Source organism: Homo sapiens, chromosome 7 (assembly GCF_000001405.40).
Source record: "Homo sapiens chromosome 7, GRCh38.p14 Primary Assembly".
Taxonomy (NCBI): domain Eukaryota; kingdom Metazoa; phylum Chordata; class Mammalia; order Primates; family Hominidae; genus Homo; species Homo sapiens.
Genome location: NC_000007.14, coordinates 149,471,317 through 149,498,173, shown reverse-complemented (window position 1 = coordinate 149,498,173; position 26,857 = coordinate 149,471,317). Strand labels below are relative to the sequence as shown.

Below are 26,857 nucleotides of genomic sequence, written 5' to 3'. Positions count from 1 at the left end.
AGTGCCCGTGGGGCGGGGGAAGGGGAGCCGGGCATCCCAGGGCGAGGGGGCCGCCCTGGCCGCGGTCACCCGGGGGACGCCCTGCCCGGAAGCCCGTGCTCGCCCGCGGGCGCGGCCAGGCGGGTCCCATGAGGGGGACCCTTTCAATAACCGAGTCCTCGGGCTGGGCCGCGGGGCCAGCGCAGTGACTCCCCCCGCGCTCGGCAGTCCGGCCGGGGTCGCGGGGTCGCGGGGTCGCGGGGTCGGCCCGGGGTCGCTAGGTCCTCCCGTCGGGCCCCGCGGGCGGGGCTGGGCGGGGCGGGGCGGGGCCGCGGGCAGGCGGGCGCAGCGCCTGCCGTTCGCCTCTCAGGCTGCAGGTGGGGCTGTGCGGCCGCGCTGCCTCCAGGAAGCCTCACGGGCCTTCGTCTGCCGGGCCGCGGCGCCGGCTCCCAGGATGCAGTGTGGACCGGCCGGGCGCTGACGGAGGCGGCGCGACTGCGGGCGGCGCGGCGCAGGGGCAGCCAGCGAGGAGCGGCGGCAGAGGAAAGGCCAGGCAGGCGCCGCCTGCGGAGAGCACCGGGCGGCCGGGCCTGCGTGGTGCCGCGCGCGGCGGCGGCGACGACGACTTCCTCCGGGCCGGGCGGGACAGCGCAGGGCCATGGCCGAGGCGGTCGCGGCTCCGGTAAGGGCGACCCGCGCGCGCAGGGACTCGCGGCCTGGGGGCCCCAGGCGGCCCGGCCCCGGCACACGGCGCCGCAGGCCCTGGGGAGGGGTTCCGGGGTCCGGGCCGGACCACCGGGCCTGGGGCTCCCGCGAATGGGGCGCGGGGTCCGCCGGGGCCTACTGCGCCCGTCGGCCGGGCCCCCACTCCGAGCCGAACCCGAGCGCTGGCGGAACGGTTGTCCCCGCCCCGGGCCGCCCCACGCCAAGTTCTTTGGGCCCTCCGGGGCTTCCTGCCCCCGCCCCAGCCGCTGTCCCCTCCTTCTGGGTGCCCCCCCACCCGCGGCTCCTTTCTCTGCCTGGCGCTCGGCCTGTAGGTCCCTCTCCATCTCCCCCGCAGCGGCCTGGTGGCACCTGGGAGGTGTCCGGCTTCGAATCCGCATACACCGACTCCCACTACGTGCCCAGCTTCCCGGGGTCGGCGCGGAAGGGAATATAGAGCCACGCACTTCCACAAGCCCTGTTGAGGCGTTAGTCTGTCCTCACAGCAAGCCTGTGGGATGGGTACTGGTGTTAATCTCTGTCATACAAAAGAAAAACCCGGGGCCTAGAGAACTTAACTTGCCCAGGCTTACCCAGCTGGAAAGTGTGAAAAGACACACAGTGGCTGTGTGTTCAAGGACCAGGCAGGCAGGTACGCGGGCAATAATCGTGCAAAACAGAAAGGGGTGAGTGCTGGCGCCCAGGTGGAAGCTTGCGGTGGGCTCCGGGGGAAGGAGTGTCAGGGGGCCTCTTGGTACCGCTGTCCACCCCTCCTGGCCTGATGCTCTGCGCCTCTGTGATTTGAGCCGGGCTTTTAGGGAAGGCTAGGATTTCAGGCCCAGCTAGACCGGTGGTGCTTTCAGGGAGGGAGGAGTGCCTGGGCAAAGGCGCAGAGAGACGGGACAGTGCAGGGCGTGTGCAGGCACAGAAAGGAGTCCATGAGCCTGGAGAAGATGGTTTTGGTTTGGAGGCAGTGGGAAAGGAGTCTGCAGAGAGAGACTAAGAAGGGGTTTGCATGCCTGGACTTCATCCTGCGGGTGGGCAGTGGATGAGGGATCCGGCTCCTCTTACCATCAGCTCCTCTCAAGCAAAGAGTTTCAGCTCCCCTGGCAGGAGTCCAAGGACAGCCCCACATATTCCAGCCACTTGTCAGTAAGAAGCTGGGCTGGAGTGAGCAGCGCACAGTCGCCACCTCCCACCACATAGTGTGAAGACCTTACACAGGGTTTCCTGGCCCCATCAGAACTGTAAGAAAACCATGCACCTTGTTGTCCATGAGTAAAAGACTAATATTTTCTTAATAAAGTAGTTTAGCAGAGGTCCCTTTCATGCCACACAAAGCCCATAATAATGCACGTGGAGGATGGGTAGGATTTCAGTGGATAAGGAGCTGGTGACCAGTTGAAAGGAAGCTTCTGGAGTAAACTCTTGGCGTCTGGGATCACGTGACAGGGATTGATCTGAGAAAGGAGAGGTGAGGGAAGGAACAGTGGCCTTAGGTGGAGGGTGGACTCAAGCCCAGAACCACGCTGGCCCACCCAGGTGCTGTAGGACCACCTACTCCTTGAGAGCAAGACTCCCACCCGCATTGGGGTTTTCGCCTAGAAACAGTTCAGCTTGTCCAGAATCTCCCAGCCTTGAAGACCCCTTAGAGTCCTACCTTCTTTGGGTCCTGCTTCCTTCCAAATAGATAGTATCTTAAGCACTGTCCTAGACAAGTTTGTTTCTCCCTCTGCTCAAACTCTCCTTTTGTCTCTATTTTTTGAGCTGTCCATCCGCATTCTAGTTCTCAGTGACTTTCTCTAAGTGAATCCACACTGGTTTCTAGTAGCTACTTCTTCATTTTGGAAATAATCACCAACCTTTTGTTGAGGAATTATTTTGCAGAATGTTGTAAGGAGGCGTTGATCCTCAGGTCCCGATACCAGGAGCTCCTCTGTGCCCTGTAGGTCCCACATTCAGATGTGGGTGGCTCAAACAGTCCAGCTCCCTACCCACCGCAAAATGTGCCCATTCTTCCTTGTCCCAGCTGCCGGTCACTGATACGCCATGTGAACATTTCCAATGACAGGGAAGGCCCCCGTCTCTAATTAAGATGGTTGCTGTCCATATACAAGTCTAACTGTGGCATATATGTACTTTCCTCACCAGACTGCAGGGTATGTCACTGCTCCTGGTACAGCTACAAAAATGTCGGAGGCCGTCATTTTTACCTTGAGGGGGTGGGAATTGGGAAAGAGAAAGAATCTTGTAGGGCTCAGGCAGTGTCAAAAAGCCTAACTCTGGACTGATGGAGATTTGCAGTCATGGGGATTTTAGCTTGTGGGGGAGGGGCAGATGGGAAGGTGACAAAATGAGACTGTCCTGGGGGAAGAGGAACTGGCCATTAGATTTTTATGTTTGTTAAAAGGGGACATGAGATGCTTTAAAAAACAAAAAAAGAAAAAAGAAATTGAGCAATACTCTTGTTTGTGCCGTTTCAGTGAACCAGCTGTTTTTTTTGCTGGGTCATCATCAGTAGACAGTTCCTGTGTAATCATGAGGGGAGGTGCAGGCTGCGCTCTAGTAAATCTGCAGTTTACCATTTCTCCACTAAAATGCCCAGCAATGCTAAGTCACTGTTTACGTAACAAAATTGCACTGGGTACCTGCCATGTGTCAAGGACAGTGGTATGAAAAGATGCAATACCATGTTCAGGGAGCCCACAGTGTAGGTGTGGGTAGGAAATTATTGTGTAGGGTGATAAGCACCGTGATAAGGGTCTGCATTGTGCTGCAGAGGCCTGGAGTAAAGGCACCCACCCAGACATAGACCTAACATACCCAAGCAGGTGATGGCCAACCTGAGATCTGGCATGTGGTATAGGATAGCCCCACTTGTCCACACATATGGACTCCCAGCCCAACTCCCCCGTGCCTAGGGAGAGAGGGGCTCAATGAAGACAGTGGATGGAATGAGTGATGCCAGTTTCTCTTTTGTTTCTGAAAGATTTCTCCGTGGACGATGGCAGCCACGATTCAGGCCATGGAGAGGAAGATTGAATCGCAGGCTGCTCGCCTGCTTTCCCTAGAAGGTCGAACCGGGATGGCCGAGAAGAAGCTGGCTGATTGCGAGAAGACAGCCGTGGAGTTCGGGAACCAGCTGGAGGGCAAGTGGGCCGTGCTGGGGACCCTGCTGCAGGAGTACGGGCTGCTGCAGAGGCGGCTGGAGAACGTGGAGAACCTGCTGCGCAACAGGAACTTCTGGATCCTGCGGCTGCCCCCGGGCAGCAAGGGGGAGTCCCCTAAGGTAGCCCTGGGACGCCTTGGGGTGTGGGAGCCCAAGCGGCCAAACCCGTGAGCGTGTGGGTGAGCGAGTGTGACACTTGTGGTTCCAGGTGCCCGTGACCTTTGATGATGTGGCCGTGTATTTCTCCGAGCAGGAGTGGGGCAAGCTGGAGGACTGGCAGAAGGAGCTCTACAAGCACGTGATGAGGGGCAACTACGAGACGCTGGTCTCCCTGGGTAAGGCCTGACACTCATTTCTCTGTTAAATGGGATTTTGCAAGTCCTCAGAATTCTCCCTCCACATAGTTGTTTTCATGTCAGTGTTATATAAATCACCAGAAACATTGTTGACCTTGCAAGTTGTTACCTTTTGTGAAGGATGAGCCCTGGGTGATGGAGTTAAAAGCTCCCTTCTCCCTGTGTTGAGTTTCCCAGAATGCCAGTCTGGGAACGGCGGTGGCTTCTCTCCTACGCAGGCCCGGGATGTGGACCTTTCTGTTCTTGCTGACTTGGAGCGGGGAAGGCCCCATCTGCTCTCAGATCCAGTATGTAATTGACTCACATTTGAGAAAGACTCTTTCCTTCAGCCTTCTCCTACAAACATGCGTGGCCCTTACGGCAACATGCCTCGAGGTCAGTGGAGAACATGGGCAGACGGTGCTGCTTGCAGCAGACATTTTCTTCATGCCTCAAAACTTTGCTTCCCTCAGCCCCTGGGGCTACTGCTCTTCTCCTTGTTTAATCCTGCCCAGGAAGGGCCTGGACTCTGTTTCTTCCTGGGCTGGTTTTCTCTTCCTAATGGTTTCTGTGTGACCCCGGAGCCGAGGGCAGTGAGACCTGTTAGAGAGGGCAGGAGCAGGTGCAGACGTGAGGTTGTTTCGTCAGCACAAGTGCACTGCTGTTTAACGTGCACGCTCTGTGGCAGTTTCTTCACCCCGGCACTGTGGACATTTGGGACCAGGTGATTCTGTGTGTCGGCGGCATCCTCTGCATTGTAGGATGTTGAGCAGCAGCCCTGGCCTCTCAGGGCATCTCCAGATGCCAGTCACCTCTCCCCCAGCCCTGGGCATGACAACCAGAATTGTCTCCAGACTTTGCCAGATGCCCCCAGGGAGCAAAATTGCCTGTGGTTGAGAGCTACTGCTTTGTGACAATCAAGAGATTTCATTTCTAGACCATTGTTGGTTTTCCGGGATGACTGTCCCCAGCTTTGACTGGAACGTGGCAAAAACTAACCTTCTGTCTTTCCTCAGACTACGCCATCTCCAAGCCCGAGGTCCTCTCCCAGATTGAACAAGGGAAGGAGCCCTGCAACTGGCGCCGCCCTGGCCCCAAGATTCCAGATGTTCCTGTGGACCCCAGTCCAGGTAAGGGCTGGGAGAAGGCCAGGGAGGCATCAGGTATTGTGCAGGAAACAGAGACGGAAAGGCCAGAAAGGGTGTGATCTTTCCAGAGAGAGTCGAGGAGAAACATGAAACTTACAGGTTTTATGTCTTGAGTTTTTTATAGTTGAGTTTTAATCTCTAACTTAGTCAGCTAATGCTCCAGAAATGAACACTTTCTGTCAGGGAAACAGGTGGCAAACCTAATCTTTTAGGAAGAGACAAAGGCAGGGCACAGGTTGAGGGGAGGGAGAGGAGAACGCTGAGAGGGAAGGCAGGAGCATAGTTGACCCTTAACGCAGGGGCCAGGGGCACCAGCCCCCAGTCCCACGCAGCCAAAAATCTATGTATAACTTTTGACTCTCTAAAAAGTTAACTGCTAGTAGTCTCCTATTAACCAGAAGCCTTATTGATACTATGAACAGTCAATAACACATATTTTGTATGTTCTGTGTGTTACATAGTGATACTTACAATAAGCTAGGGAAAAGAAAATGTTACTAGGAAAATCATAAGGAAGAGAAAATATATTTATTACTCATTAAGTGGAAGTGGAGCATCATAAAGGTCATCCTCCTCATTGTCTTCTTCAGATTGAGTAGGCTGAGGAGAAAGAGGAGTGGTTGGTCTAGCTGTCTCAGGGGTGACAGAAGCAGAAGAAAATCCATTTATAAGTGGGCCTGCATAGTTCAAACCCATGTTGTTCAAGGTCAGCTGTATATTGACAACAAAATTAATCCAAAGCTTTGCAAAGAGTCAGCCTTGCCTCCAAGAACCAACCTTAATTTAAACCAGTAGCAGTTGTAGAGCTACTTTGGTCTACATTGGTCAGCCTTATGGTTTGGTATTATTAGAAGCACACATTTATTTAAGGTGAATCTTGTTACCAGATATCAGCGTCTCAGATTTCCCTGGAGCCAGTCAGCACCTTTGAAAGTTAAGGGAAGGACAGGTGGACACAGGAGAAAAACCAAATTCCTAAAGTGAAGACCTGCTGGGTCATTTGACTAGGGAGACCACATCTCTGCAAGGCTCGACCCCTGATTCCTCCAGAAGACCCGCCCTTGACCGTCCCACCTGCCTTGGTTTTCCCTTTCGTCTGACACTGAGAAAGGTGGTGGTCCGCAGAGGCCCTCCTGTGCGCCACTTGTGTGAAATTAAATGCATCCCCCATGTTCGTCATCTCATCTCAGTCAGATTTGCACTTTCCTAAGGGCAGAAGCATGTTCCGGGCTGGCCGCTTTGCCAGTCGTCATCGGGACATTGACAGTTTAGCTCTACAGATGCATTTTTAAGAATCTTCTAGGCGTCAAGGACAGTGCTGAACACTAGAGGACAGAAAGATGGCTGAGAACAGATACTATTGGGCTGGAAAAGAGGGTTACAACCCGTGCGCGTCCCCAGCTTCCTAGCCTGGGTGGGAGGTTCTGGGTGGGTGGGTTTCGTTGTATTTACACCATGTGTGGAGGCTTCCCTCACTTCCACAGCATCATTCAATGAGAGTAAAGAGGGGCTGGAAATACGCTGGTTGCTGGTAAGACCCTGTAACACTCTCTAGCTGCACCGTATGATGTTCAGCAGCATCCGTGGCCTCTACCCACCAGTAGACAAGATGAGTAGACACAAACTCCACTGTCCATCCTGAGCCTGTTGGCAGGGATCTGTGTGGCGTTTATCCCTGTCCCCTTTGTCTGAGAAGCCAGGACTCCCAGCTCATCCCTTGCCACATTTGGCCTGACCCATCCCCTTGTGAGACCTCACCTCCCCTTCTCCTCACCTCCTGCACATCCCTCCACTGAGCCTTGTGGGACTCAGGGCTCAGCAGACCCGCCAGGTCCTGAGTGTTCCCTGCTCGGACTGAGCTCCAGGGGACTGCAGCCCTCTGAGTGCTTGTCATCCTCTTCCCTGCCTCTGTCTTGAGCCCAGGCCCACTGGGACAGGGTCCTCACCCCTCAGATTGTGCCTCTGCCAGCCTCAATCCCTCTCTAGAGACCTTGCCTTTGGGTCCCAGGCCTTGTCTTTTTGCTACTTCTGCAGACCTTCCCTCTCTTCTCAACACTCTTCCTGCCCTCAGTCTTGGCCATGGCAGCCTCCTTGTTGATTGTCCTGTGCCCCCCCAACCCATCCCACAGCCATCCGTGACTGTGACGACAGTGACTTTACCATACCCACCATCTCCATCTCCAGCACACCACTCCCTGGCCGCCTCCTGCCGTCCCTTCAATTCCGTCTGGTGTCCTGATTCCAGCAGTTTTCCAGTCCTTCAAGACCTGCAAGCCATCGACCCTGCTGCCTTTTCACTGCCCTGACTCATCCTCATTTCCCTCCATGCCCACCATTGTGGTCCCCCCTTACACACACCCTCAGCACTCTTGCCCCTGTTTTGTTCATTGTATCCACTTAGTGAAATCCATCGGTGTTCTGCACCTGCAGCCAAGCAGCTGCACGTGGCTGCAGAGAACCAGGTAAGCTGGCTGCTGGTGTCACGTGACATTCATGACCAGCGACTTCAGTGGGCGCTCTGCCACACAGTCACACCGTGTCTCCTTAGCCCAGGGGCCAGCAAACTGTGGCTGAGGGCCAAACCTAGCTCATCTGTTTCTGTATGGTGCACAGCTGAGAACAGTTTTATATTTTAACCCGTTTTTTAAAAGAGAAACGCACCACTCACACAGCCCTCTCCACGCCATCTGCCTGCACCAGTGCCCCCTTCTCTGCCTTCACTTCTGTGACTGCTAAACTGTCAACCCTCCAGCCAAAGCCCCACTTCGATCTGGCACCAGATCCCACCTCATGCCATCTTCTCAAGGGCAATACAAGCAATCCTGCCTTGACCTCTACCCCGGCAGCCACTGCCCGCTTGTCTGTTCCCCTTTGTGGCAGAGCCCTTGGGGACATCTGCGCTTGCTGTCTCCTGCACCTTCCCCCCCACTCTGTTACCCCTTCCACCAAAACCTCTCCAACCTCGGTTACCAGGGCCCTCCGTGGTCCTGAATGGTCTGTCTTCTTACTTGGCCTTGTCCCCTCTACTCTGCCACGTAGGCCCGTCATCTCCTGCCAGCCCCTCTCCTCCTGCCCTGATCCCCCAGTCTTGCCTCAGCCCAGCAGAGTAATCCCTTTTAGACCCAAGTCCTGGCTTTCCATCTGACCCGCACCGTCAGCTCACCACCTCCACTTTTCTCTCACTCTGCCCAGCTGCAGAGTGCTGTTCCCTGGTGCTGTTCCCTCCGCCCTGTGCCAGGGCCTTCGCAGTGCCCTCTACTGGGAATCCTCCTCAGGCAGGTCCCACCTGCAGGCCTTTCGTGTCATCGGCACTGCAGGCCCTCCCCACCCAGGACTCCAGGCCTACTTTCCTGCTTTGGGTCTTCCGTGTTAGACAGTGTCACATAATATATATGTTTCCTATTTATAGATTCATCGTATGTCAGGTCTCCTCCATTAGAATGTCAATTTCAAAAGTATAAAAATTTTTACCTGTTTAATCATTTTAGGAACCTAGAGTATTGCCTAGTACAGAGTAGGAATTCAATAACTATTTGCTGAATGTATGCTGTTTCAAAATTTAAAACGTGTGTGTGTGTGTGTGTGTGTGTGTGTGTGTGTGTGTGTGAAATAATGTATTTCTGATAGCATTTAAATTCCTTTTTAGGTCTCCCAGGCCTCCCTAGGAATTTTCTGTTTATTCTTTCTATCCACATTTTAAAACGTCTGCTGTGTACTTTGGTAGCTGTAAACAATATATAATACGGTTTTTTGTGTTCTGAAAAATTACATAGATGTCATTATATTTATCACTCATTATTCTGTATTTCAGACTTATCCATGTTGATACATGTAGATCAAGTTCATTCCTTTTAACAGATGCTTAATATTCCAGAAGCAACTATATTGTAACTTATTTTCCATTCCTCCACTGATTGGCACTTAAGCTTTTTCTGATTGTTCACTCTCACAAGCAATACTGTAGTGAGCGTTCTTGCGCCTGTTTTTTTGTGGCCCTGTGGGGATGCTGCTCCAGGGAGTAGACCCAGCGGTGGCCTCACCACGTCGTAGGCTTGATTTCATCTCTTCCGTTACTGTATGGCCCTCCCCAGGGGTACCCAGTGCCAGCGGGTGCTCCTAGAACTTGCTTCCTAACGTCTGCCCAGTTTCCATAATTACATTTTTGCCGACCTGATGGGGGTGAGATGGCCTCTCGTTTCAACTTGTATTTTCCCCCTTAAGTTGCACGCCCTTTTTATACGATTATTTGGCTGCTTCTCCAGTGAGTTGTCTTCTGTTTTTCTATTGAGATATTCTTCATTTTCTTCTTGATTCAGGGCTTCTTTGTATGTGTTCTAGATACAAATCCTTTGTCTATTATTTGTGTTACAAACATTTTCTCCGTGTCGGTGGCAGGTCTTTAACGTTGTAGTTCTTGTATGGAAGTTTTCACTGTTGAAAGAGTCAAACATGTCAGTCTTTTCCTTTATGATCTGTGCTTTTTCTGTAGTGAGATATCCTTGCTTACCTCACTCAAGGTCAGAAAGATACTCTTCTCTATTTTTTTTATAAATTTTTAAAAGTTTTGCTTTTCAAATTTAAGTCTTTAATTTATCTAGAATTAAAATTTGTGTAGCTTGCAAGGGAGGGTTTCAGTTTTTTCTCCCACAACGATGGTCTCATTTTCCAACAAAGTTTGCTGAATGTGTTAGCTTTTCTCCACTGATTTGTGATGCGATTCTGTCCTGAGCTGGTTTCTGCATGTGCACAAGTCTGTTTCTGGGTGCTTGCTTCTGTGTCATTGGTCTCTTTGTCAGTCTCTGCACCAACAGCTTGCTCTTTTAGCTTCATAATAAGCCTTGATATCTAGTAGACTAATCCTTCTCTGCTTGTTCTTCAAAAAACTGTCTTGGCTATTCTTGGATATTTGTTCTTTTATATGAATTTTGGGATCTGTATGTCAAGTTCCTAAGAAAATCCTGTTGGAAATTTGATTGGAATTGCATTGACTTTACAGTCTAATTTCTGGAGAATTGCTCTCATGACAACATTAGCCTTTCTACTCATTGGAACACTCATTTATTGAAGGCTTCTATGTGCTTGAATAAGATTTTACAGTTTTCTTCTGATAGTTGTTTTTCATTATAAATGGGATTTTTACAGTTTATTAGATGTATTAGTTATTTCAGGTGTACAGGTATGCTGTTGACTTTTGTTTATTAAAAAAAATCTTGCTCTCATGTCTAATGGTTTGTTTCTTTATATTCTCTTGGATTTTTTATGTAGATAATTATATCCTCTACAAATCACACAAAGATTGTGTCTGTTTTTTAACTTTTTGTAACTTTATTTTTCTTATTTAGCAGTTTGACTAGGACATCGTTGAATAGCAGCAGTGATAGTAGCATCCTGTCTGTGGACAAGATACATTTCTAGAGTTTCAGCCTTAAGTATGATTTTTGCCTTTGGCTTTTGAAAATATTGTTAAAGACATTTCCTTCTAACCATGCTACCCAAAAGTTTTTATTGTGAACAAGTGTTATATTGTATCAAATGCTGTTTTTCTCCTTTTTAAAAATATTGTGTTTTGTTTCTTTTAAAATAGCAGTCCGGAACCTTTTTGGCACCAGGGACCAGTTTCATGGAAGACAATTTTTCCACCAATGGGGGACCGGGAGCATGGTTTGGGGATGAAACTGTTCCATCTCATAAGAAGGGAGTGTGACCCAGACCCCTCGCATGCACAGTTCACAATAGGGTTCGCGCTGCTGTTAGACTCTAATGCCACCACTGATCTGGCAGGAGGCGTAGCTCAGTCAGTAATGCCAGCGACAGGGAGTGGCTGTAATTACAGATGAAGCTTCACTTGCTCGTCTTCCACCCACCCCCTGCTGTGCAGTCCAGGTTCCCCGGGGCATGGGGACCCCTGTTTTACAACATTGTTACTGTGTATTATACATAACAAACAAAATACATACAGAACAAAATTCGTGTGACATTTAGAGATTAGTAGTAAACCCCATATTCCCAACACCCAGCATGAGAGAGACCACAGCTTGAACCTCTTGGACCCCCGTCCTCCCCTGATCACACCCCTTCCTTCCTCTTATAGTATACATAAACTGAAAATTCAGAAATAGAGTCCCTTGCCTTTCTTTACATTTTTATTCCCTCAGTATGTATCCTAAGTAACACATTTAGTTTTATCTGCTTTGGAACTTTTTGTAAATGGAATCATACCACATATGTTCTTCCTTAACCTGCTTTTCTCATTTGCCGTTATGTTTTTGAGAGCCATCCATGTTAATGTAGTATAGCTGTAGCTCATTCATTTTCATGATTTTCACCACTTTACAGTTTTGTATTTTGTGACCATAATACAATGTATTTATTCCTTCTACTGTTGGTGGGTGCTTGTGTTGTCTCTTTTCTTTTCTTTTTTTTTTTTTTGCTGGTGTGAACATTCTTATGCATATGTAAAAGCTTCTGTAGGTGTAGATCCAGGAGCGGAACTGCTGGGTCATAGGAAAGAAAAGACATGTATTCAAATTTTTCCAGGTGATGTCAAGTGGGGATACCAACTGGTATTCCCAGGAGGGCCTGGGGGTTCCAATCACACCTCATCCTCACCACCCTGGGAAATGCTGTTTTTATTTCTGCCCGTTTGGTGGGAGTGAAATGGTTTAAAATTTATGGTTTAAAACTTGGATTTTCCTAATTAATAAGATTGAACATTACATCCTCTACTGGTGAGCCGTTTGTCCTTCCTCTTCTGTGAAATGCGTGTTTATGTCTTCTTTGCATTTTTTTAAGTTGTTTTTTGTTGACAGAGTCTTGCTCTGTTGCTCAGGCTAGAGTGCAGTGGTGCAATCTTGGCTCACTGCAACCTCCGCCTCCTGGGTTCAAGTAATTCTCCTAACTCAGCCTCCCAAGTAGCTGGGACTACAGGTGTGCACCACCACGCCCAGCTAATTTTTGTATTTTTAGTAGAGACAGTGTTTCACCATGTTGGCCAGACTGGTCTCAAACTCCTGACCTCAAGTGATCTGCTGCCTCGGCCTCCCAAAGTGCTGGGATTACAGGCGTGAACCACTGTGCCTGGCCTGTTAGTGTTCTTTACGTATTCTAAATATTAACCTTTTTGTCAACTATGTGTGTTGCCGTTATCTTCTCCATTTGTGGTATATTTTAAAGAACAGATGCTTTTCATTTTAATGTACTTGGATTTACTAGTCTTTCCTTTATGGTTTGTCCTTTTTGTGTCTTAAGCAATTAAGAAATGTTTACGTTCTTCAATGTTGTAGTACACCAGTGCACCTTCTCATATTTCCTACTAAAGGTTTTCAGAGTTCGTCTTTCATGTTCAAGTTCTTCATCCTTCAGAAATGGACTTTTGTGGTGCTATGAGGTGGAGACCCTGCTTCTTTTTCACTGCACTTTGGTTCTTCTTTTCCTTTGCTCTTTCAGATAGCCCCTCAAACTGCCTTATCAAGTTCCATGAAAAATTCCAGTTGGGGTTATGGTTGCAATTGCATTCCATCTATTAACATTTTGGAGAGAATTGACACTTTTACTATATTCAGTCATGTTATCTGTGAATGTCCTAAGTCACTCCATTTGGTTTGTCTATAGTGTCGCAATGAAGTTTTATATTAAGGTCTTGCACATATTTTGTTAGATCTATTCCTAGGTTCTTTTTTTTTTTTTTTTAAATCACTTTTGTCAGTGGTATCTTTTTTTAACTTGCATTTTCTGTTTGTTGCTGTTGGGGACTTGAGGGCAGAGAATACCCCTCTTCAAATGCTTTTTCTCCTATCACAAGAGCGCATTCCAATGTCCCTGCCCTTTATGCAGAATTATGCCCTGAATTATCAGTAATAAAAATAGATTAGCCTCACCTGTCTTCCTCTTTTGTTTTCTTTCTGTGTTTGTTAAGACCCTTGATAAGGAAGAAAAATTGTAACTGATAGGCTTTCTCAAAAACCTCACAGTATTAATATATAAAAATGTAGTTGTCTTTCATTTATTGATAACGATCTAGGAACCCTACTAAAATTTTCATTAATGCTAATAACCTTTCTATTAATTGTCTAATCATTCTCAGTTTTTCTGAAAAGTTAATCATATCTATGAGTAATAATTTTTTTCTTTTTAAATATTTATGGGTTTTTTTTCTTGTTTTATTGTGTTGACTGAGAACTCCCAGAAAATCCTTAAATAGAAATGATGATAACAGGTGTCCTATTGGTTCATGATTTTAAAGAGGACACTTTTTAACTTTTCACATTGAGTATAATATTTGCTAAAGATTTTGTTTACAAATATCCTTTATCTGGCTAAAGAAGTTTCCTATGTCTGTGTTTGGCTAGGTGTTTCTAACAGTAATGACTTGAATTTTATATAATTTCTTTTGGTATCCATTGAGATGATTATACATTTTTTTCTCCTTAACCTGCTAGTAAGGTAAATTATGTTACTTTCTAATGTTGAACCAACCTTGCAGTCTTGGAATAAACCTAACTTTGTCATGATCCTTTATGAACATTGCTGTATGCTAATTATTTTGTTTAGGATTTTTGAATCTTTGTTCATGGATGAGATGGGCTTGTAATTTTCTTTTCTCAGACTGTTTTTGTCTGGTTTCGGTATTAAAAATATGAGCTATGATGTATTCATTCTGTTTTTAATTTTCAGAGAGTTTTTGTAATGTTGGAATTATCTATTCCTTCAACATTTAGTAGAAAACACCAGTGGGGCCACCTGAGCCTTAAGTTTTCTTTGTGGGGAAGATTTTTTACTACCGATGTAATTTATTTTAGTTACAGGACTATTCAGGTTTTCTATTTCTTCTTTAGTTTTGGCAGGTTGAAATTTTCCTAGGAATTTGTCCATTTCCCCAGAGTTTTCAAATTACTTGGAATAACATTCATAATATCCTCTATATCTTTTAAATCTCTGCTGCATTTATCATTATGTTCCCTTTTTCATTCTTCCAATTGGTTATTGGTGCTGTCTCTCCCATTCTCTTGATAACCTTGCTAGAGGTGAATTGGTTTAACAGTCTCTTCAAATAACCAACTTTGACTAACTATATTCTATCTTTGTCTTCTCTTTTATTAATTTATGATACTCTTATATGTATTATTTCCTTCTACTTTTGAAAAGGTTCTTAAATGTTATTTATTTTCTAATGTCTTGCATTGACGCTTAACCCATTAATTTTTGACCTGTGTTTTTGTTTTTTTTTTTATTTTTTTACACGGAGTCTCGCTCTGTCGCCAGGCTGGAGTACAGTGGCGCGATCTTGGCTTACTGCAATCTCCACTTGCCGGGTTCAAGCCATTCTCCTGCCTCAGCCTCCCGAGTAGCTGGGACTACAGGCACATGCCACCACACCCAGCTAATTTTTGTATTTTTAGTAGGGATGGGGTTTCACCATGTTGGCCAGGATCATCTCGATCTCCTGACCTCGTGATCCACCTCAGCTTCCCAAAGTGCTAGGATTACAGGTGTGAGCCACTGCGCCCAGCCCCTGTGTTATCTTTTTTAATATAAACATACAAGGCTATAAAATTTCCTCTAAGTACCATTGTAGCTGTAGCCCATACATTTTGATAGATAATATTTTCATTAATATTGGGTTCCAGATACCTTCTAATTTTCATTGTGATTTTTTTCTTAGACTCAGATTATTTAGAAAGCGGTATATTTTAAAATTTTAGTATGTATGGGAGTTATTGATTTCAAACTTAATTGTGTTGTAGCTAGAAAATGCAGTGTGTAAAATACTAGTCGTTTAAATTTTGCTGAAGTCTGTTTTATGACCTAGAAAGTGTTCATTTTTCCTTAACGCTCTGTAGCTTAAAAAGCTTGTGTTTTCTCTGTGTTTGGAATCTGCTTAGGTCCCTTTAATCAGGTTTGTTAGTAGAGTTGCTCAAATTTTATATAACCTTTAGTTGGCTAGATTTATCAATTACAGAGAGATATATCAAAATCCCCTACTGTAAAGATGGATTTGTTCATTTCTCCCTAGAGTTTTATCAGTTTTGCTTTATTATTTTGAAGCTATATGATAAGCTTAAAAAATTAGAGTTATTGGCTGGGTGTAGTGGCTCACGCCTGTAATCCTAACACTTTGGGAGGCTGAGACGAGTGGATCACCTGAGGTCAGGAGTTTGAGGCCAGCCTGGCCAACATGGTAAAACTCTGTCTCTACTAAAGATATAAAAAATAGCCAGGCGTGGTGGCACACATCTGTAATCCCAGCTACTCGGGAGGCTGAGGCAGGAGAACTGCTTTAACCTGGCAAGTGGAGGTTGTAGTGAGCCGAGATTGCACCATTGCACTCCAGCCAGTGCAGCAGAGCAAGGCTCCATCTCAAAAAAAAAAAAAAACCTTAGAATTACTTTATCTTCCTGGTTAGTTTACTATTATGCAGTAATTCTTTTTATTTCTATGAATATTTTTACTTTCAAAGTTTATTTCATGTGATATGGTATAGCTACATCATTTCTTTACATTGTTCTGGCTTAGTACATCTTTCATTCTTTTACATTGCTTTCTGCGTCCTTCTGTTTAGGTATGTCTCTTGTAAACAGCAGATAGCTGGGGGATTTGTTTGGTTTTAGTCTGAAAATCTTTACCTTTACCTTTTAAATATCCAAACAGTAGCCACTATCCACCTGTAGCTACTGAGCACTTGAAATGTGCTGTAAGGATAAAATACATACCGTATTTCAAAAACCGTGTACAAAAACAAGCCGTGAGTACAAAATATGCATGTATAAAATAATATAAATCATTTTATATTGATTATACGTTGAAGTAACATTTTTTATATCTTGGGCTAAATAAAATGTACTGTTAACATTTATTTCACCTGTTCTTACTTTTTTAACATGACTACCAGAGTACTTAAAATTAGATATGTGGTTCACATTCTTTTTTCTTCTTAGCTCTGGTCTAGACCATTTACATTGATTATGGTTATTAGTTTATTTGGATTCTTTTTACCATCTTAAATTGTGCTGTTAATCTTTAGTTCTGCCTTTTCTGTATTTTTCCTGCCTCTCCTTTGGGAATTATTCATTTAGGTATTTTCCTTTTCAAACTATTGTTATTTTAAATTAATTTGACAGTTATGTATTCTATTTCTATTGTTATAGAGGAATCTTTAGAAATTTTTTCTTCCTTTAGAAGTTATTTTTTGTGGGTCTGATGGTAATGAGCCCTCAGTTTGTGTGTGTATATGAGTTTATATGTGTTTATATGTGTGAAAATATCTTTATTTCATCCCTATACAGTGAGTCCTCTGTATTTATGTATTCCACATTTGTGGATTCAGGTAACTGCACATTTGAAATATTCAGGAAAAAAGGTGTCTACTAAACATATACAGACTTTTTTCTTGTCATTATTCTCTGAACAATACAGTGTAGCAACTATCTACATAGCATTTACGTCGTATTAGGTATTATAAGTAATCTAGAGGTGATTTAAAGTATACAGGAGGATGTGTGTGGGTTATATGCAAATACTACACCAATTTATACAAGGGACTTGAGTATTGTGGGATTTTGGTATCCATGGGGTGCCCTAGAACCAATCCCCCACTGACACCAAGGGACAACTGTAGTGGAAAGACATAATTTTAGCTTGAGTGTTATTTTCTCTTAGCTTTTGAAGATAATTTGCCCCTTTTTTCTGGCTTTTGTTGTTGCTATTGAGAATCTGCCATCAGTCCAATCAGGATTCCTTTGTGGATGATCTGCATTTTTTCTTTCCCTGCTTTTAGGTCTCTTGGGTGATCTGCAGTTTTAATACAATGTGTCTAGATGTGGATTTATTTTCTTTTATCCTGCTTTAATCACTGAAATGTTTCACCAATTTGGGAAAATGTGTTATCTTCCCTCTTTGAATTTTGCCTTGCCCCCTTTCTAACCTTTTATTCTGGAACTTTTTCATATTATCCTTTATAACTTCGAACCCCTCTTTATATTTTTAGCTCAGTCTCTATGTTAAGGTTGGAATAATTTCTTCTATCTTCTAGTTAGTTCACTATTCACCATTCAATCATTTCCATTCTGTTGTTTAACCTACACATTGGATTTTAAAATTTCAGTTATTAGCCAGGCGCGGTAGCTCACGCCTGTAATCCTAGCACTTGGGGAGGCCGAGGCTGGCAGATTGCCTGAGCTCAGGAGTTCAAGACCAGCCTGGGCAACACAGTGAAACTCCATCTCTACTAAAATACATAAAAATTAGCTGGGCCTAGAGGCATGCACCTGTAGTCCCAGTGCTACTGGGGAGGCTGAGGCAGGAGAATTGCTTGAACCCGGGAGGCAGAGGTTGCAGTGAGCCAAGATCGCGCCACTGCACTCCAGCCTGGGCAACAGAGCGAGACTCCATCTCAAACAAACAAACAAACAAACAAACAAAACAACAGTTATTTTTTCTCACCATTCTAAAGAATGTTACATTTGATTCTTTTTCAAAATTTGGTCAGTTTTGATAGTCTTATTTCTCCATACTTTCATTCCCCCTTTTTATTTCTGTAAATAATTGAACTTTATATTCCTTATATGATAATTTTAATATCCAAAGTCATTGGTCATATTCTCCAGTTCATGATTTCTGCTGAGTTTGTGGTGCTGATTTTCTCGAGATGGTGATGTGTAATTGTGAGCTCATTGATTATTTGAAAGCTATGTTTAAAATGCTTTCCTCCTGAGAATGTGTGTGTGTTCCTCAGCTGGTCATCTGATGCCAATGCAGACTTAGGACCACTTCAAGCTACAGTCTTGACCTGGAAGTTTTTGGGCCACAATGGGCCTCCTGAGTAGCTGGGACCACAGGGGATGCCACCATGCCTGGCTAACTTTTTTTAAAAACTTTTTTTTTTCCCCTCTGTGGAGACAGGGTCTTCTATGTTGCCTAGGCTGGCTTTTTTTGTTTGTTTATTTGAAACAGGGTCTCACCTTGTCACCCAGCCTGAAGTGTAGTGGCACAAACATGGCTCACTGCAGCCTCAAACTCCTGGGCTCAAGAGCTCCTCCCACCTCAGCCTCCCAGACTGCTGAGATTACAGACATGAGCCACTGTACCCAGCCTACTCAGCAATTTTAGATATTCCACATTGGGAGGAATTTCTGTTTCTCTGCACATCTAGCCAGCCATATGTCAGAAATAGAAGAGCTAAATGCTGTTTTTACATCTGTTGAGATGATTATATTGTTTTTGCTATTAATCTTAACTTTGTTCGTTATATTTTCTAGTGTTATCCTTGAGCTCTCAGAATAAACCCAATGTGTTCATAATATGTCTTTTTCTTTTTTGAAAATATATTGCTGAGTTTGATTTGTAATTCTTTCATTTAGAATCTTTGCATATCTGTTCATATATGAGATTATTTTTTAAATTTGTTCATATACTACCCCTCTAGTTTGTGCAATAAAAATTGTCTTAGCCTCATAAAATGAGTTGACAGATGTTTTCTCTCAACATTTGAAGATATTCCATTGTCTTCTGATATCCTAGTTGCTGAAGAAAATCTCCTGTAGTCTGAATGTCATTATTTTCTCTTGGGTACCTTTTAAGGTTTTTCTCTTTGTCTTTGCTGTGGTTCCATTTCACATGAATGTTGTCTAGGTTTGTTTGTTTGTTTTATTACCTACTTGGGAATTGGTCTGTTCCTTCAAACTGTGGACTTAACAATGCCTTCAGTTTTGGAAAATTCTCAACCATTATTTCTTTACCTATTGCCATTACTCATTTCTCCATTCTCTTCTTCTGGGATTTCTACCAGCATGTGTTGGAATTTCTCATTCTGTCCTCCAGGTCTCTTAACTTTTTCATATTTTTCATTCTTTATCTCTCAGTGTTGTACTCTGGGTTATTTCCCTGGATCTCTCTCCCAAGTCACTAATATTCTCTCTAGCTGTGTTCAGTCTGTTGTTGTTGAGCCAGAGCCATCCATTTGAGTTTTTCATTTCCACAGCTGCCTCTGTCGTTTCTAGAATGTTGAGTTCTTTTTCAAATCTGCCTTTTTCAAAATAATTTGCTGTTCTTGCCTTAAAGATTCTGTTCTTTATCTCTTTGATGATCTTAGACATACTTAGGTTACTGTATCATTCAGCCTCTCCTTTTTTTCATTAGTTCTTGGGAGTGAACTCTGCCATGACTCTCATGGCCATTTGGCACCTCTTCTGTTTTGTAAGTTTTAGTTTTTCTTCTGGTTTTAGTTTTCCCTTAGGAGCCCCCTGTGGACTGCATTGTGTGGGTGCCCCTCTGAGGCAGATCTGCATTTGCCCATGCTGGGGCCTCCTGAGTTGCCATGGCTCTCAGCCAATTTTTCTGTGAATTTCTCAGTTTATGGTGTCTGCCCGTGTGGGTAGTGTGAATTCTGTGTGGACATGGGATTCCAAGTTTTTATGGGTTTCTTTCCCACACATAGCCCTGGACAAGTAGGCTGCTTCCTGGTGGCTCCCGCAGGCAGACAGAGTTTTCCTAGTCCCCATCTCACAGACAGGCCAGAGCCTATGACTCCTGGCTTCAGGCAGGCGGCTCGGCCACACTCCCAACCTCACATGGACATGAAAGCCCAGCCCCTAAGGCCTGTATCCTACTCCAACAACTCTCTAGGTCACTTGCCTTCCACTGTAACTCGTGATTGACTCTGTGTGTTCTCTGTCATTCTTGCCTCTGGGATCTTTTCTTTTGCACTCACTTAAATATATGAGGGGGGAAGGTTTTGGGGGGACTTGGGGTTCACTTTTGTTCAGCATTTCTTGTGTTTCAAGTGAGGGCAGGCCATCCCCAGGGCAACTTAGTCTCCCTCTGGACCACCAGCCTAGCCCTGAGAATGTGCTTGTGTATTCTTCCCCTCCCCCGCCTCAGCCTTTCCTACCCTACCCGCATTCCCAATACCATGTGACCTCAGGCTCTGCCCTAGGCTCCCATCCTGTTTGCTGCTGCCTCCCTTCCCACCAGGCTCTTTTGCTGTTGGACCCTTGTAAGGCCCCTGTGTCTATCTCTCCGGCTGGATGCGTGTATGCCCCAGGGCTGAGGGGCCGTGATGCTGTATCCTCACACTCACTCCCTTTCCTAGGCTCGGGGCCCCCAGTTCCCGCCCCAGACCTCTTGATGCAGATCAAGCAGGAGGGTGAGCTCCAGCTCCAGGAGCAGCAGGCCCTGGGCGTGGAGGCGTGGGCAGCCGGGCAGCCAGATATTGGGGAGGAGCCCTGGGGCCTCAGCCAGCTGGATTCCGGAGCAGGAGACATCTCCACGGATGCCACCTCTGGTAAGTGGCTGAGACGGGGACATAAGGAACAAGTTGCAGGGATCACAGGAGGGACAGGGGAGGGCTCGTGGCAGCATGGGGGAGCTGTGGGCCCTCAACACTTCCGGCCTGACAACTTTAGAAATTTTCCCGTCTCGAGGTAGGACTGTACTAAAGGACTTGTCTCGAGCCTCTCTCGGGTGGCTGATGCTGTCCCTGGGTGTCTCTCTGGCCCTGTTCCAGTGGCCCCTATATCACCGTGAGGCCGCTTCTCTTGCCCCAGCATTGGGCATTGAAGTCACTGGCTGCCTCTATTCGAGAGGGGCCCGTGGGAAACATACTGATGATGTCTGAGCTTCCCAGTGCCTCAGAAAGGGGGACAAAAGACACTGGGTTCAGAGAGGTTGGGTCCTCGTGCCCACTCAGAAAAGCCCCCAGTGGGGGGACCTCAGAGTTTAGCCTGCTCTCCTCCCCAACAGTCTTCTGTCCTCCCCGTCCGTCCCCTAACCCACCGGCTCTGCTCTCCCCTTACCGCAGGTGTCCATTCCAACTTTTCCACCACCATCCCGCCCACCTCCTGGCAAACGGATCTCCCTCCCCACCATCCCTCTTCAGCATGCTCGGACGGGACCCTGAAGCTCAACACAGCAGCCTCCACGGAAGGTACAGGTGGCGAGAGGAGGAAGGGAAGGGCCATGCTTGCCTGTGGGGAGTACCTCGGTCCAGGCATCCCATTTTCACTGGTGAACTGCTCTGACCTTCCAGCCAACAGACATTAGGGTGTCTGCACTCTTATGACCCTTTGCACATTCTGTTATTTATCTCCTTGCCAAATCATAGGTGTCAGCAGCCCTTCTTGAGGACATCCATGTTTCAGTCTGTTGCTTTTTCATATGGTGTTAAGTGGTCTATTCTAACAAGCCTATCTCTTGAAGGATATACCTCCTCCCCAGCTTAGGAAACTGTGGCTTCTCTCTGGCATGGAGGAAAACAAAATTGAACTGAAACCACTTCTTAGATATTGGTACTACCAAAGACAGGTGTCTGAAGGCCGATTTCAGAAGAACCACCACCAAATTTATCTGTTAGCTTTCTGTTTACTTCTGTTTTGAAGACCAGTCACCTGTTACTATAATAACGTCATATTTTAGCACCCAAAAAACGTGCTAATAGCCAAGATCCCTGATGTGAAACCTCAGAATGTGAAGTTGAAGTACGCTTATATAAAATCAAACACATTCTTTTTTTTTTTTTTTTTTTTTTTTTTTTTTGAGGCGGAGTCTCACTCTGTCCCCCAGGCTTGGAGTGCAGTGGGGCGATCTCTGCTCACTGCACGCTCCGCCTTCCGGGTTCACGCCATTCTCCTGCTCAGCCTCCCAAGTAGCTGGGACTACAGGTGCCCGCCACCACGCCCAGCTAATTTTTCGTATTTTTAGTAGAGACGGCGTTTCACCATGTTAGCCAGGATGGTCTCAATCTCCTGACCTCATGATCCCCCCGCCTTGGCCTCCCAAAGTGCTGGGATTATAGGCGTGAGCCACCGCGCCTGGCCAAACACATTCTTATTCACTAATATTTTTATCATTAGCTGGTGGGTCCATTTATTGAATGCTGCTGCATGTCAAATAGCTCACTAAGGTGCTTTCAGACATGTTGTCTGGTTTAATCCTCACACCTGTGAAGTGGGCATTCACAGATGAGCTGTGGGTTAGAAACTGCCTGCAGCCCACAGCTGGTGTGTGGCCGAGCTGTCTGAACCCCCATTCCCTGCACTGTGGTGGGGCACAGTGCCTGCAGCAGTTCGAATTCCTTTCTGAGGATCAATTCATGCTTAGCCTTAACAGCCAAACTGAAAAATGGAGCCTGGGGAGCAGATATGGTGGCTTGTCCTGTGGTGAAGGTGCCAGAACACTGGTGTCCTCGAGGGGGAGGCAGCCTCACAGCCACCAGGCTGCTCTGCTGAGCTGCCCTCTGGGCTCAGCCACGAGGGCCTGGGTGGAGTTTGTCTGGCCAGGCAGCTGCTGAGCAGGTGATGGTGGCAGATCGTGGCTCGCTCAGCAGTTAAGGGACAGGTCAGTATCTGTCTTTCTGTCTTTCTCAGCAGATGTAAAAATTGTAATAAAAACAGAAGTCCAGGAAGAGGAGGTGGTGGCCACACCCGTACATCCTACTGACCTAGAGGCTCACGGGACCCTGTTTGGACCAGGCCAAGCCACACGGTTCTTCCCTAGTCCTGCCCAGGAAGGAGCCTGGGAAAGCCAGGGCAGCTCCTTCCCCAGCCAGGACCCTGTGCTGGGGCTGCGAGAGCCCGCCCGGCCTGAGAGGGACATGGGTGAGCTCAGTCCTGCTGTGGCCCAGGAGGAGACCCCTCCTGGGGACTGGCTCTTCGGAGGGGTCCGGTGGGGCTGGAATTTCCGGTGTAAACCGCCAGTGGGCCTGAACCCGAGGACGGGGCCCGAGGGGCTTCCTTACTCCTCCCCGGACAACGGAGAGGCCATCTTGGACCCCAGCCAGGCCCCAAGGCCATTCAACGAACCCTGTAAATACCCTGGCCGGACCAAAGGCTTTGGCCACAAGCCAGGGCTGAAGAAGCACCCCGCGGCGCCCCCCGGGGGCCGGCCCTTCACCTGCGCCACGTGTGGGAAGAGCTTCCAGCTGCAAGTCAGCCTGAGCGCGCACCAGCGCAGCTGTGGGGCGCCCGACGGGTCGGGCCCGGGCACAGGCGGTGGCGGCAGCGGCAGTGGCGGCGGCGGTGGCGGCAGCGGTGGGGGCAGCGCACGGGATGGCAGCGCCCTTCGGTGTGGGGAGTGCGGCCGTTGCTTCACGCGCCCCGCGCACCTCATCCGCCATCGCATGCTGCACACCGGCGAGCGGCCCTTCCCCTGCACCGAGTGTGAGAAGCGCTTCACCGAACGCTCCAAGCTCATCGACCACTACCGAACGCACACGGGCGTGCGGCCCTTCACCTGCACCGTCTGCGGCAAAAGCTTCATCCGCAAGGACCACCTCCGCAAGCACCAGCGCAACCATGCAGCGGGCGCCAAGACCCCGGCCCGAGGCCAGCCACTCCCGACGCCGCCCGCACCTCCTGATCCCTTCAAGAGCCCCGCCTCCAAAGGACCTTTGGCCTCCACAGACCTTGTGACCGACTGGACTTGTGGCCTCAGCGTCCTGGGACCCACCGATGGCGGGGACATGTGAGCGCCTCCAGCCCCATAGCCCCTGCCGGCCGCACGTGTAAAAAGCCCCGTGTGCAGGCAGCAGGGCGGCGTGGAAGCTTCAGGCAGACGCGGGACGGGGAGAACCAAATGTCCAAGTTGCTGAACTGATGATCACTGGAGAAAGAGAAACTATCCACCAGGACAGCTGCCACCTCTAAACCAAGTAGAATTCTCTGTGAAATGGGAGCGCCGTAGAATTTTAAGTAATTTAATTGCAAACCTGTTTTGTTTTTTGTTTTTTGTTTTTTTTTAATTCTTGAGGAAAAAGCTGGAAAATAGTAATAGGGCTATTTAAATTTTGTAGGTACTTTTGGTTTTCAGGGCGTGCATTTCTGTCACTATCTCACTGAGTCTGATAGTGTGTTGGAAGGTTGGCCAGTTGGGGACCCCTGGCCCACTGACTCCTGGGGATGGGGTCCTGTGTGTGCCCCTGCTCTGCCCAGTTGGGCTGAGTGGGCCTAGCGCACCAAGCCCCTGGGCAGTGAGGGCCATTGGGTCCCTTGGAGCACACCTCAGTGCAGCAGGAAGGACCCCTCCGGGAGTAGCGGTTGCATTTCCCAGCTTGCCTCTCCTGAAAAGGCCCCCCAAAAGTGCTGGCCCCAACTTTTCTCTATTTTGGGCCATCTGTGGTACCCGTCCCAAGGGCACTTGGTGGTGTCCCCTAGTGTGTGACTCCCTGGCCTCATAAGGACGAGTTGTCTGAAATCCCAGCGTTAGGTCTGGGGAGATGGAGAAGCTGAAACTGGGGAGCTGCACCACAAACGTCTAGCTCTCAGCAGAGCTGGGAGCAAAGCCTGGCCGCCCACCCCAACCTGGGGCTGCCTCCCACTCCGTGAGATGCTTCTGTCTCCTGTTCACTTTGTGTGGTAGTTTCTTATTTTCAAAATGCATCTCATTTGATCATTACTGTGACCTTGGGAAGCAGCAGGACAGGGATTTCTTTTTAGAGGTGCAAACTGCTCAGAGGGGACACACCTCAGCCTCTCACTGTGGGTACACGTGGCGTGCCATGAGTGGGGAAGAGCAACAGGCGAGATGCCTCATTCTACTGGAACATCACTGTGGGTGAACAGAGATTTCCAGGTTTTCCCTCTTAAAATATTTGTCCCACACCGACAAGAGTCCAGTCACCAGGCCTCAAAGGAACTTCTGCTTGTAGCAGCCGCCTCCCCTGTGCCCCAGCCTCCTTAATGTGTGCACTCTCAGAGGGCACAGCTCGCGAGGCTGGGTTTGGGGGCCAAGTGGCTTGTTCATTCCAGCATCTAACATCATAAAGGTGGGCCCAGATTTCTTGATTCGACCACAGTGCTGTTCCTACCACACAAATATCCATTCCTGTTTTGTTGAAGCAGCCACTGGTCCTCTTGTTTCCCCTGCAGACGGAGGGACCTGGCAGTGCCCATTCATTCAGCCCCCTCATGCATACTTTTATTAGGCGATAGACTAGTTAAGAAAATTGTTTCTATGTACTGTATATTTTGTACCTGTTTACACTTCTAATATTGATATAACTGATATTTTGAAAAATAAGAGAAAACATCCTGTTAAAATAAAACCTAACCAGCACCAAGGCAGTTTGTTGGGTTCCATTCCTAGGCATGTGTCTTTGTCACTGATGCCCCCAAACATGCCCTCCAAGGGGCTGTCTGGTCAGCTTTCTTAGTGCCCTCCTCCTAGGCTTGGTCACCTTGGACCCAGACAGGTAACTGACCTTGAGATCTAAGAATGGAAGATTCCAGAGAAATTTGACTCTGTGAAGAAAAACTGACATTTAGAGAGAGAATCAAAACACATCAAATCACTTTCCAACAGGATATAAACATGGTTTACGTCATTACGTTGTATATGATTTGAGATGACATACATGAAGACAGGAAAGTCTGGGAGAAAAATTGCAGAGTATCCAAGATAAATGGATGTTGGATGCTTTCTTCTTGCATCTTTTCGGGGTTTTGTTTTGTTTTGAGACAGAGTCTCACTCTGTTGCCCAGGCTGGAGTTTAGTGGTGCAATCCTGGCTCACTGCAACCTCCACCTCCTGGGTTCAAGTGATTCTCCTGCCTCAGCCTCCCGAGTAGCTGGGATTACAGGTGCCCACTACCACACCGGGCTAATTTTTGTATTTTTAGTAGAGACAGGGTTTTACTATGTTGGCCAGGATAGTCTCAAACTCATGATCTCAGGTGATCCACCCACCTTGGCCTCCCAAAGTGCTGAGATTACAGGTGTGAGCCACCACACCCGGCCTCTTCTTGCATCTTTTCTTGGCTGGGCAGGAGGTGAAGAAAGGACCGTGATGCCTGTAGTTGTAATCCAGGTCTTAGAGCAAAGTCTAGCCAATAGCAGTTGAGCCAGGCTAGCACCCATATTCCCATCAGCCAGAGTTAATAATCATTACCCTTTTATCTCATGTTTTCAGTCTTCTGTTTTGGTGATAGCCTTTTTAAGAAAATGAAAATGTCAAATCCACCTTAATTTTTGCCACAGCGGGCATGGGAGAAGATCTGCCCTGGCTGCTATGAGGATAGCTGGGGATGGGAACACGCTGCCCTCCTCGCCAGCCCTGACCTCTCTGCTGTGCTTCTGGTCCACCTGCCCCCTGGATGGGTCTCCAGCACATGGAAGCTGGCTGGGGTAGCCTCTGGTGTCTGTCCAGCTTGGGGCACCTCTTCACCCCATACCCTCCCCAGTGATCTTGTGTGCTCTCACACTCCCTCTCATTCACACACCAAATGCAGAAATCTTGAGTGTCATGGCCAGAATCCTGGCGTGTGGTTTCCTAAATGAAGGACTCCTTGGTCTCTGGTTTGGGTACCACTCACCAAGACAGAACACAGGGAGGAGCAGGTTTGGGCAGGGGAGTTGAGTTCTGCTTCATACACCCAGAGGAGGCGCCCAGTCAGTTGTGAGGGAGACCAGATAAGTACCAGTGAATGAGGGGGCCACCACTCCCCACGGACTTCTTGGGAACCCTTGCACTACTATTGTCCCAAAGCATCATGCTTGGCCAAGCACAGGGTTCCCTTCCTCTAGTAGTTTCCTGCTGCT

At 47.6% G+C, this 26,857-nt stretch overlaps 1 protein-coding gene across 5 annotated transcripts, besides 4 other annotated features; it reads left to right on the top strand.

The window, feature by feature from the left end:
- Positions 1–670: a silencer, noted in NCBI's record as "silent region_18761". NCBI's record gives its function as "represses an Ori minimal core promoter by ATAC-STARR-seq in GM12878 lymphoblastoid cells {active_cell/tissue: GM12878}" and the evidence as "EXISTENCE:reporter gene assay evidence [ECO:0000049][PMID:35858748]".
- On the top strand, positions 365–25,478 carry ZNF746 (zinc finger protein 746). Of its 5 annotated transcripts, none has more exons than NM_152557.5 (7): positions 365–661; positions 3,671–3,970; positions 4,104–4,185; positions 5,202–5,315; positions 20,419–20,610; positions 21,127–21,252; positions 22,694–25,478. In NM_152557.5, exons 1-7 carry the CDS (start codon positions 638–640, stop codon positions 23,788–23,790), a joined length of 1,935 nt encoding a protein of 644 aa, NP_689770.3. In that variant the 5' UTR covers positions 365–637; the 3' UTR covers positions 23,791–25,478. The 5 variants fall into 5 exon arrangements, with proteins under 5 accessions (NP_689770.3, NP_001350446.1, NP_001156946.1 ...); NM_001363517.2 differs by having other exon boundaries at positions 4,059–4,185; NM_001163474.2 differs by having other exon boundaries at positions 22,691–25,380.
- Positions 911–970: a silencer, noted in NCBI's record as "silent region_18760". NCBI's record gives its function as "represses an Ori minimal core promoter by ATAC-STARR-seq in GM12878 lymphoblastoid cells {active_cell/tissue: GM12878}" and the evidence as "EXISTENCE:reporter gene assay evidence [ECO:0000049][PMID:35858748]".
- Positions 1,104–2,047: an enhancer, noted in NCBI's record as "H3K27ac-H3K4me1 hESC enhancer chr7:149193218-149194161 (GRCh37/hg19 assembly coordinates)". NCBI's record gives its function as "activates a minimal SCP1, AML or CMV promoter by ChIP-STARR-seq in naive H9 embryonic stem cells {active_cell/tissue: H9 hESC(naive)}" and the evidence as "EXISTENCE:reporter gene assay evidence [ECO:0000049][PMID:30033119]".
- Positions 2,842–4,041: an enhancer, noted in NCBI's record as "MED14-independent group 3 enhancer chr7:149191224-149192423 (GRCh37/hg19 assembly coordinates)". NCBI's record gives its function as "activates an origin of replication core promoter dependent on BRD2, BRD4, P300/CBP and CDK7 cofactors, and independent of MED14, by STARR-seq in HCT116 cells {active_cell/tissue: HCT116}" and the evidence as "EXISTENCE:reporter gene assay evidence [ECO:0000049][PMID:35650434]".
- Positions 25,479–26,857: the final 1,379 nt, after the last annotated feature.